The sequence below is a fragment of the Homo sapiens genome, chromosome 14, assembly GCF_000001405.40.
Source record: "Homo sapiens chromosome 14, GRCh38.p14 Primary Assembly".
In the NCBI taxonomy this organism is placed as follows: Eukaryota; Metazoa; Chordata; class Mammalia; order Primates; family Hominidae; genus Homo; species Homo sapiens.
Window position 1 is genome coordinate 50,664,464 of NC_000014.9, and position 10,325 is coordinate 50,674,788.

A 10,325-nucleotide genomic window follows, 5' to 3' on the forward strand; every position below is an offset into this window, starting at 1 on the left:
TAAAACCAGGACTTCAGGAATAAAGTAGAATTGTACATTTCTCCCATCTCTTCTGCTCCTTTCAGAAGTATCTCCAACTCAGGAGATATGGAAAGTACCTTCTTTTCTTAAATTATATGGTAATTTTTTTTGTCTGTTACAAAAATAATAAAAAGACATGCTCAACACATAATTAACCATATGACAATAAGTCTTTTTGATCAACTCAGGAAATAATTCTTGAACTACTTTTTGTTGAGAAAAAGGGCAGGATCTAGCGAAGTAATGTGGTTGCTCAGGGTATCACTGAGCATGCCCAGTTGTTCCTACTCTTCTTTCCTTTCCCAAGTTTGTCAAGTGTCTCTGAGGACTCCGTCAAGTGTCTCTGAAGACTTACCCTTCCCATTATTCTACCAAACCTAAACCTAAATTCAGCCCAACTGGAGACATTAAATTCTCTAGGTTTTCAAGGGTCACAGCATTAAGAGTCTAGACAGCCTTGAGATAAATACCAAGTTTACATAACATGAGTTAATAAAATAAATGGTCACAAGGACTCTTCCATTCAGTGTAGATTAACAACTATTTGCACACAGGCTTAAGCAGGATGAGCAAAGTGGAAAAACATTTCGCTAGTAGTATTTGTTCGTGTCCCAAGAAAATCTAGAAAAGAACATCTTTTTAATTGACATGTCAATAAATATAAACTACTATATTATTTATAATGTTAAGCTACCTGAAGCATGCCTCCCCTGATTCTGTGGCATTCTTTGGAAGAGATCATGGTTGTATTCATAATATCTGTAGTCTTCATGTGCACGATCTCCAAGTGGCCGCTTTCTCTGACCATCAAAAAAATTGTCTGAATAATAATATCGGGAACCAGAGTCTCCATTTTCAACAGCAAAACTAACTTCCGTTACAAATGACTGAGAAGAACCATACTCTCTAGGGACATCTGCTAGACTTCTGGCAAGATAAGAAGGTGCAGATAATCTGTTGCTTTCTCTTCTCATTATTTCATGAGGTGTTCTTTGAATTGGAGTTCTAAGGAAACTCTGGTTTCTTGAAACTACATCTCCAGAAGTTGAAAAGGCATTAGGGCTTGAATCTGGAAGACAGATATCAGTTCGTCTTGGAATTGTTGGACCATGCCGGATGAATGAAGGCATAAGATCTACAATAAAACAAAGGATAAAATTACCCTTTCATCATTAAGTAACAAAAGTTTTCGAAATTTGTTCATTTATGTCTACCACCCCAAAATCAAAATGTCAGTCAACTTAAGAAAACACAATTTTAAATTTTGGTTTAGGATGGTACTTGGGCATTTTAAATTGAGGAAGATTAATATTTTCCCAATCAAATGAATTTATATAACTTGCATTAATGGACTATGCGTAAAAGCTCAGCTAGAATAAAATGTATTCTGCATACTACCATACATAATATGATAAAATATCAATAATCTTATCTATGAACTACACATTAATGAAATGCTCATGAATTAATGTATAAAAATAGGAAATAATATAACAAATTGATAGTTTCTAGTTAAGTAGTTTATTTTGTTGTTCTCACTTCATTTTAGAAACTGCCAAAAATCCTTCTTGAAGCAAACACAATTTCAAAAATAGAACTTAATGCTACTCCCAAATATGTAAAAGTGGATTCCTTTAAAAATTAAAAAATTAGTAGCTCTTTCTTCTCTTGGAATTACCTAGCACTAGCACAGTAATCAAAAGCTAGAAAGCCAAAAATTTATGTATGAAAATTGAAAATAAAAAGCTCTCATTTCAAAGAAGCACACAAATGTAGAAGTGGCTCAAAAAACCAAGCCTGAAACTATGTAATTATAATTCAAAATAGTAGATAATAGAACAACAGCTTTTAGGATACAGTACTTTTAAACACGAAACTTGAAAACAGCTTAAGACATTCCCAGTTAGAAAGCAAATACCTTTAAAACAAGACAAAAACCTGAATATGCAGACCCTCTTATTATTCATCAAGTAAACAATATTGGAGACACTCATATTAATAAGCTTCAGAAACTAACACTGGACAGAAACAAATATCTGAATAAATAAGGCTCAACACTTGATGTAACGACAACAAAACAAAGTAGATCAAAAGTTATTTGCTTAACTGTGACAAACATTAACAAAACTGCACGTTCTACACATGTACCCCAGAACTTAAAGTATAATAAAAAGTGTGACAAACATAATTCACGATTTCAAGTAATGTCTGATAAACTTTATTTGCAGCAAACAGCAAGCTATCACTTAAAAACAGCCAGAAACCTAACTGCATGTGTGACTGAAAATCAAGTTGTTAAAAAAAAAAAAAAACAACTTAAAAATCAAGTTTCGAGTTACTGATGTACTCAACTGACATATATTTTGTTGAAAGTATTGCAAGTACCACCATAAATCTGGAAGGCTGACAATGTGGTTATGATGGAAAAACATGCTCTCCCATCTGTGTGATCTTGGGCAAATACTAGAAACCTAACTTTCCCAATTACAATATGAGGTAATACTTAAGTCACAAGGTTACTACCAGCTTCCAAGAAGGAAACTTAAGCAAAGGGCCCAGGGCGCAGTAAGAGCACCAAAATACCAGCTCCATGCCTCACAAATGTCCTGAACACACAAGAATTAAAAATTCAAGAGATTCAACTCAAAAATCAAATACTTACATTAAGAAGAAAAGCAGCGGGGGACCGGAGGTGGGGATTGGGAGTGGGATCTACCCTATTAAAAAAAAAAACTTTTCGAGGGGGGGGTTCTCTAATACGATAGAAATTATTTTGAGTTGCCTTCTTGGAATCTCACGAATATAGCCAAATACAAAGGCTTTTGGCTCTCTGCTCTGCTGTGTAAGAGTGATGAGGCTTTGGGTGGCGGCTACAAGAACGACGGTATGCTTTTCACCTTCTCAAGTCTGCATCCGGCAGCAGGACTAAGGAATTCTGCCCCAGAGTTCGCACAACTTGCAGCACAGTCGAGAGACACCCGCAATGTTTGCAAACATGACGCACATCTCGACGCATCTAAAAGAGTAAAAAGTGTCCCTGTCTAATTACTTTTACTCCTATAGCATTAGGTGATAAGCAATTTAAATGTTTCCTACTCTCTCTTCCAGTAATCAAAACCAACAACTCTGCCTGGTGGGGCGAGGAAGTCTGTTATTTTTAGGGGGTGCTCTTGGGGGGGTTAGGCGCGGGGGGGACTAACCCAAGTTTCTTACTCTTATGGGCTTTCAATCAACGAATACCACTTCAGACACAAGAAAATCTCAAAACCAGTATTTCACGCGACCAAGGACGAAGGAGAAGCCCTGGAGACCCGCCGGCGCCCCCGCCAGGGTCCCCGGAGCACCTGGCCGCCTGGGCCAGGTGTGGGCACGCCCCGCCTGACACTCACTCCGAAGCAGAGGCGACGTCTCCTTCTTCACGTACTTCCCCTGCACCTCGGCCGGCTTGGACACTTCGTTTTTGGTTTTCTTTCGGGACAGCATCCTTCTCGACGAGGCCCGAGGCCGCGCTGAACTGCCTCCCTAGGGCTCCGCGCCGGGCGCCGGCCGTCTCCGCCGCCACCTCCGCCGGCGCCGCCGCCTCCTTCCCTCCCGAGCCGCCGCCTCCGCCGCCGCCTGTCCGGAGCCCGGGGTCGCCCGCAGGGACTGCCGCATGTTCAGGGCGCTAAGCGCGCCGGCCGCCGCTCAGTCGCTGGTCAGTTCCTTCCCGGAAGTCGGCCCGCTCTGCGACGCTGCTCGGGGACGCCGTGAGGAAAGCCCAGCGACGCCGGGCCAGGGCCAGGGCCATGGTCCGCCGCGGGCCGCCGAATAACCGCTACCACTACCGCCGCCGCCGCCTACATCCCGTAAACTTTCCCCGCGGCCGCTGGGAATTCTGGGAAGCTCGACGCAGCGCGGGCCGCCGCTGCCCCTCCCCCACCGCGGCTCCAGGCGCGGCTCCGGCGGCGGGACTCGGGTGCCGGCGCTCTAGGCTACCGGGCCGTCCCCGCCGAGCTGCGGCTGTCCTCACTCATCCTCAGCGAGAAGCAGGTCCTGCCGACTGAGAAGATGAAGGACGAAACCTGCCCCGCTGAGTGCGGGAGTTCGTCGCATGCGCATGTCGTGGAACCTACTCTCCACGAGTTTTTATTGTTGTTGCTTTTGTACCCCCTCGGGATCCCTAGCGGAGGCAGTGACTCTCTTTCCCCCCAAGACGTTGTTCCCTGTTTGAAGGTGTTCTTCCTAATGTTTCCTAGGCTGCTGAATTCAGCTCTCTAAAAAATGCGGAATGCTAACCATGACTCCCAGGCAAGTGCTACACCAAAGCATCTATTCTGCTGGAAACGTTCATGCTGATTAACTAGAAATAAGTTGATCCTCTACTGAGTATCAGGGAGTGCGTTTTTCTATAACAGGAAAAAACGGAAGAATGCAAGATGGAATTTCCAGTACCTCTTTTTAAGATACAATTGGTGTTAGCATATTACAATTATTTTATTGCATCATCACTATCATTAGTATGATTAATAGCCACATATTTCCTCCTGACGTTATGTGTTATGATCTTAGAATTTTGAAGACTTTGACCACTGCGAGTCGGGACCGGGAATTTTCTATCTAAAATAATAGACTCTACTTCCTTCTATATAACTTAGCAAGACTGCCAAATGTACAGGATAACATTTGGAAAATAAGATTGGATTCATCCCCTAGTGACCAAATTAATGCTTTAATAATGAGGAATGCTTTCCCTGAGATCTAAAACATCTCACAAGAGATCTAAGACATATATCACAATTAACAAAAGACATGGAATTTTTTACCACGTAAGATTAAGAAGATGGTCAAATGTTTTACCATGAGCAAACAAAGGAGACATTTGATCTAGTGTCTGTCTCCATATGTTCCCTTGGTGCAGATCTCCCACAATTCATTCATTAACCAGGAAATACTCATTACCCACTGCGCTAGTCGTTTGTGATAGAGCAATAAGCAAAACAGACAAAAATCCCTACTGTCATGGGAAAGAGAAAAAAATGACAAAAAATAAGCAAAACATACTATGTTAGATAGTGATAAGTGATGAAGTGAAAATAAGAGAGGACTCACAATTTTTGAGAGGGTAATAGAGGGACCAGAGAAGGCTCATGAGGAGGTGACATTGGAGTTAAGTGACAGAGTGAGGAAATTGGCCATGCAGCTAACTGGAGGAACAATATTCCAGGCAGAAAGAACAGCAAGTGCAAAGTCGCTGCAAGTGGCCATGTTCCTGGCAGATTGGAGGAACAGTAAGAGGGTTTATGTACTGGAAAAGACGGGGAGACGAATGGGGAATGCAGTTAGAGAGTAACAATAGCCACGGCACCTAGGGCTTTGTAGGCCATTGTAAGGAATGTTACTTTGAGCAGAGGAGTGACATGATCTGAGTTAATGTTTTCATAGGACTGCTTTGGATGCTGTGTGGAGAGTAGACAATGGAGCTAAGGGCAAAAGGGAGATCAGTCAGAAGTTATTGCTGGCTTGGACCCAGGCAATAATAGGTGGAGAGGTAAGTGGACATATTTTAGACATATTTTAAAGAAAGCCAACCAAATTTGCTGACATTGAATATGGAGTGTGGGAGTATCAATCACTGCCATGGGTATGAAAATCTTAATAAACAGAATTGGAACTCACTAGAAGCAGAGTGTACTCTGAGAGAAACATTAGAAAAACAGTTACTTGTTCCTGTGGTTCAGAAATAAGGACGAGTCCTAAAGCGTTGATAGTGTGCAGGGAGAAGAAAGAGTGATGAAACTTAAGTGAGAGCACAATGGGGTTTTGTTACACATCAGGGTATGAAGGCGGGAGCTGAAGGAGGAAGGGGGAGCCAAAGAAGTGCCAGGTTTCTGCCTAAGGCTTACCTCAGAGAAGGACAAAAGGATATTAGCATCTTGTTAATAAAGGCAACTCTTCACACCTGGAGTTTTCCCAGAGCCTGAAGTACGGGGACACCTTTCACATGTGCGGAGGAAAGAATCCTAGAATTTTATAGTTGAAAAAGAATTCTGAGATTGCCTAGGCTCACCTCATCAACATCAAAAAGGAACGAGAAAAATTAAGTGTTTTGTCTCAGATTACATTCCTGGTTAATGACAGAATAGCATCAGAACTGGAGTTTTCAATTCCCTTTTTTTCCCCCCTGAGGCAGAGTCTTGCTCTATCCCTCAGGCAGGAGTGCAGTAGCACTATCTCAGCTCACTGCAACTGCTGCCTCTCAGGTTCAAGCGATCCTCCTACCTTGGCCTCCTGACTAGCTAGGATTACAAGCGCCCGCCACCACACCTGGCTATTTTTTGTATTTTTAGTAGAGACTGGATTTCATCATGTTGGCCAGGCTGGTCCCGAACTCCTGGCCTCAAGTGATCTGCCCGCCTCGGCCTCCCAAAGTGCTGCAATTGTAGGCGTGAGCCACCAGGCCAGCCTCAATTTCCGTTTGGGGCTCTTTACTGCTACGGAACATTCAGAATCCCACTAATGTGAGTCCAGACTGTTTCTAACAGTTGTTTTGAAAGCCGTCTGTGTTCCTTAGAGAGTACTCCCTTTTACAATGCTATTTAATTTCTGTGGATTATAGCAGAGAGAAAGCCTTAATTAGGTGCTCTATTTAAGACAACTAATTTGCCTTTTTATCAAGGAGGGTACATTCCAGAATCAACAATGTGCAGGCAGCATTAGCTATAGCAATGCACAACAAATATGTGAACTTTGAATTTGAATCCTTAAATCTAAAAGCTTTGAATTCATGTTTGTTTTCTAGAAATTCCTTGACTTCTGAGAATTTTTATTAAGGAATTCAGATTTGCTGTAGTTCTACGGAGCTGTAATTCTCCAGACATTGCCTTCAATAATGCTAATACTGCATTCCATAATAGAGATTTTTTTTTTCCCCTTACAGTTACATTCTTAGTGGAGAAAACTGGCAATTAGGGAGCTTCTCATGTTTTAACAACTTTTTTAAAAAATTAATTTAGTATTAAAATTTATTTTAGTGGAGCCTATAAGGTATGACCCTGGGCTAACCTCATAGCATTCTGAGTTCTTAGTTGTCTCATCTGAAAATGAAGAAAGTGAACCATTTGTTTTTTTTTTTTTTTTTTTTTTGAGACAAAGTCTTGCTCTGTCGCCCAGGCTGGAGTGCAGTGGCATGATCTCGGCTCACTGCAAGCTCCGCTTCCCGGGTTCAGGCCATTCTCCTGCCTCAGCCTCCCTAGTAGCTGGGACTACAGGCGCCTGCCACCACACTCGGCTGATTTTTTGTAGTTTTAGTGGAGACGGGGTTTCACCGTGTTAGCCAGGATGGTCTCGATCTCCTGACCTCGTGATCCACCCACCTTGGCCTCCCAAAGTGCTGGGATTACCGGCGTGAGCCACTGTGCCCGGCCAAACCCTTTGATTTCTAAAGTGTCTTTCAGTCCTGGAGTTTTCTGCCATGTAGGCAGAAGGGAATATGCAAAAATAAAAACTTACCTTCATAGGATAAGAGAAATGTTGGTGATTTTCTTTCTTTAAAAAGTTTGTTCTTTATTCAAGTATTAAAGAAAATATTAAAATATCAGCATTATATAAAATCATGATTAGCATAAAAATAAAATTTCGTGCCAGATTGTTACTTTCAAAGACAGCTAAGGTCTTTATGCTATGTTGACTTCCTCGTTGGAAGCATGTAAAATTTTAAAGGGTGAACTATTCAGTGAAAGATTATCCAAGAAAGACAACCAAAATGGAAATAAGCCCTACATATGGCGCCTCAGAAAAAAAAAAAAAAAAAGGAAAAAAGGAGAGGAACTTCTAGTCTACTCTCCAGCTCACTCTTCTTCTTCACATAACAAGATAAACTTAATCTGTCTCAGGAAGATGTAATAATTATGCCAATTATAGCTCTTCAAGTCTCCAAAATTTTGCTATTAAAATATGGGAGGGGGCTGGGCGAGATGGCCTGCGTCTATAATCCCAGCACTTTGGGAGGCCAAGGCGGGTGGATCACCTGAGGTCAGGAGTTTGAGACCAGCCTGGCCAACATGGTGAAACCCCATCTCTACTAAAAATACAAAAATTACCGGGGTGTGGTGATGTGTGCCTGTAATCCCAGCTACTCTGGAGGCTGAGGCAGGAGAATCGCTTGAACTAGGGAGGCAGAGGTTGCAGTGGGCTGAGATCGCACCACTGCACTCCAGCCTGAGCAACAGAGTGAGACTCTGTCTCAAAAAAATAAAAAATAAAATATGGGAGGGTAAATTCCTAAGTGTCCTTTAGGCAGAAACTTTGGTTGTTTCCTATGAAGGATAAGGGTGTGTAATGTCTACACAGATCTGAAGATATTATATAATTGCTTAATATTAGCAATTTAGTAGGGTTCCTAAACTCCTGTTATGTAAGATGAATCATCCCCCCAGTAACATAAAGAATTAGTATCACAATTCTTTTTTTTTTTTTTTTTTTGAGACGGAGTCTCGCTCTTTCGCCCAGGCTGGAGTGCAGTGGCGCGATCTCGGTTTACTGCAAGCTCCGCCTTCCGGGTTCACGCCATTCTCCTACCTCAGCCTCCCGAGTAGCTGGGACTACAGGCGCCCGCCACTGTGCCCAGCAAATTTTTTTTTTTTTTGTATTTTTAGTAGAGACGGTGTTTCACCATGTTAGCCAAGATGGTCTCGATCTCCTGACCTCGTGATCCACCCGCTTTGGCCTCCCAAAGTGCTGGGATTACAGGCGTGAGCCACTGCGCCCAGCTTAGTATCACAATTCTAATCAAAAGGAGTCAAGCTGGGAGATTCGGTGTCTCTGAGCTTAGCTTTTGTTCTTATGTACTGTTATTGCCTAGACTTAGAGGTCCTCTGAAACCTTGACAGAAAGCCAAAATGAGTCTTCTATTTTTGGCAGCACTGGCCTCGGACTTCAGTTGTCTGTCCTTCTGGTTCTTTCTGTATCTTGACTTCTCTGACCCTAGAAACTTTTATTTTGCTTCCAGAATTGGGCCGTATCTTCAGCCACTTTCAACTTTATTTTTAAACTATTCTTTGCAATTATCAGTTTTTACTTGGCTTCGTGATGTTGTGAAATATATATTTGGTCTTCATCTGTTTCCTGACATAGAGTTCTTAAACCCTTGTAATCTCCAGAAGAGTGTCTTTTGTATGCTAATGAGATGACTGGTGGCTAGATAGCTTCAGAATAAGGGCTGGTCACCCAAGAAAGACCAAAGTAGGATTAGAGGGTGGGGACTTTCAGCCCCACCACCAACCTTCTGGGACGGGAGAGGGGCTGAAGGTTAAGTTGACCACCAATAGCCAATGATGTATTAAGTCATTTCTACATAATGGAGCTTCCATAAAACCACAAATGACTGGCTTTTGAGAGTTTCTGGATGGCTAAACACACAGGTTCCTGGAAGCTGCCATTCCTAGGGAGGGCATGGAAGCTCCATGCCCCTTTTCCCATACCTCTCCCTATGTGTCCCTTCCATCTCGATGTTCACAGGTATCCTTTATTCTATTCTTTTTAGTAAACTGGTAAACACAGTTTTTCCCTGAGTTCTGTGAGCTGCTCTAATAAATTAATAAAACCCAAGAAGGGAGTTGTGGGAACACCAATTTATAGCTGATGGGTCAGAAACACAGGTCACAATGTGGGGCTTGCGATTGGCATCTGAAGTGGGGCAATCTTGTGGGACTAAGCCCTCAATCTATGGGATCCTATCAGGTAGATTGTGTTAAAAATTGAATTTAATACATCTATTTGAAATAGTTTCAAGGAAGAAGTTTAAACAGAACTTCTTCAGTAGAGCCAGAATGTAAAAAATTAAGAAAAAAATGGAAATGTCCCATTCCATGTGGAGACTGGCCACATAAATATATCTCCTCTCCCTCCTGGAACCCCAGTTAATTGACAGTGAAAGAATATAGAGAGAATAAACTTATAATTATTATGAGAACACAAAATAGGCCATCAGATCAGTAGATGTGACATTAATAAATGTCTAGAAGATGAAGAGTGATAGGGTTGCAAGAGGTGGGAGGAGATCAAGAGACAATGAAGCAGGATGAAGTATTTTAGTTCACAGCCTAAGATGCTCATGGAAGCACATATTGCCAAAGGCCGAGGCGAGGCTTGGGATCACGTGCACCTGGTTTAATTAAGGAAGATAGGACACTAACGTGGAGCCGAGAAGAGCCATTAATTGAAAGTTAGACGTACACCCCCATAGAATTTCAGGTGTTAGGCACCTATTCCCTTGAAAAGGGATATTCAGGTTCTGTTTTTGGATAAATTAAATGGCCCTATGATAA

General features: G+C 42.2%; 1 protein-coding gene across 3 annotated transcripts in view, besides 3 other annotated features; it reads right to left on the bottom strand.

Moving 5' to 3' along the window:
• SAV1 (salvador family WW domain containing protein 1) overlaps positions 1-3,843 on the bottom strand; it is a 34,727-nt gene extending 30,884 nt beyond the window's left edge. For 2 of the 3 annotated variants that reach the window (NM_021818.4, XM_047431659.1), the window contains exons 1-2: positions 3,411-3,843; positions 716-1,156 (exon numbers count right to left, since the gene is read on the bottom strand). In NM_021818.4, coding sequence (NP_068590.1) covers positions 716-1,156; positions 3,411-3,504 — 535 coding nt within the window. In that variant the 5' untranslated portion in view covers positions 3,505-3,843. Of the gene's footprint in view, positions 1-715; positions 1,157-2,918; positions 3,038-3,410 lie in introns of all 3 variants that reach the window. The other variant, XM_011537057.4, reaches the window with a different exon arrangement.
• Positions 2,841-2,910: an enhancer, noted in NCBI's record as "active region_8361". NCBI's record gives its function as "activates an Ori minimal core promoter by ATAC-STARR-seq in GM12878 lymphoblastoid cells {active_cell/tissue: GM12878}" and the evidence as "EXISTENCE:reporter gene assay evidence [ECO:0000049][PMID:35858748]".
• Positions 3,271-3,400: a silencer, noted in NCBI's record as "silent region_5725". NCBI's record gives its function as "represses an Ori minimal core promoter by ATAC-STARR-seq in GM12878 lymphoblastoid cells {active_cell/tissue: GM12878}" and the evidence as "EXISTENCE:reporter gene assay evidence [ECO:0000049][PMID:35858748]".
• Positions 3,511-4,080: a silencer, noted in NCBI's record as "silent region_5726". NCBI's record gives its function as "represses an Ori minimal core promoter by ATAC-STARR-seq in GM12878 lymphoblastoid cells {active_cell/tissue: GM12878}" and the evidence as "EXISTENCE:reporter gene assay evidence [ECO:0000049][PMID:35858748]".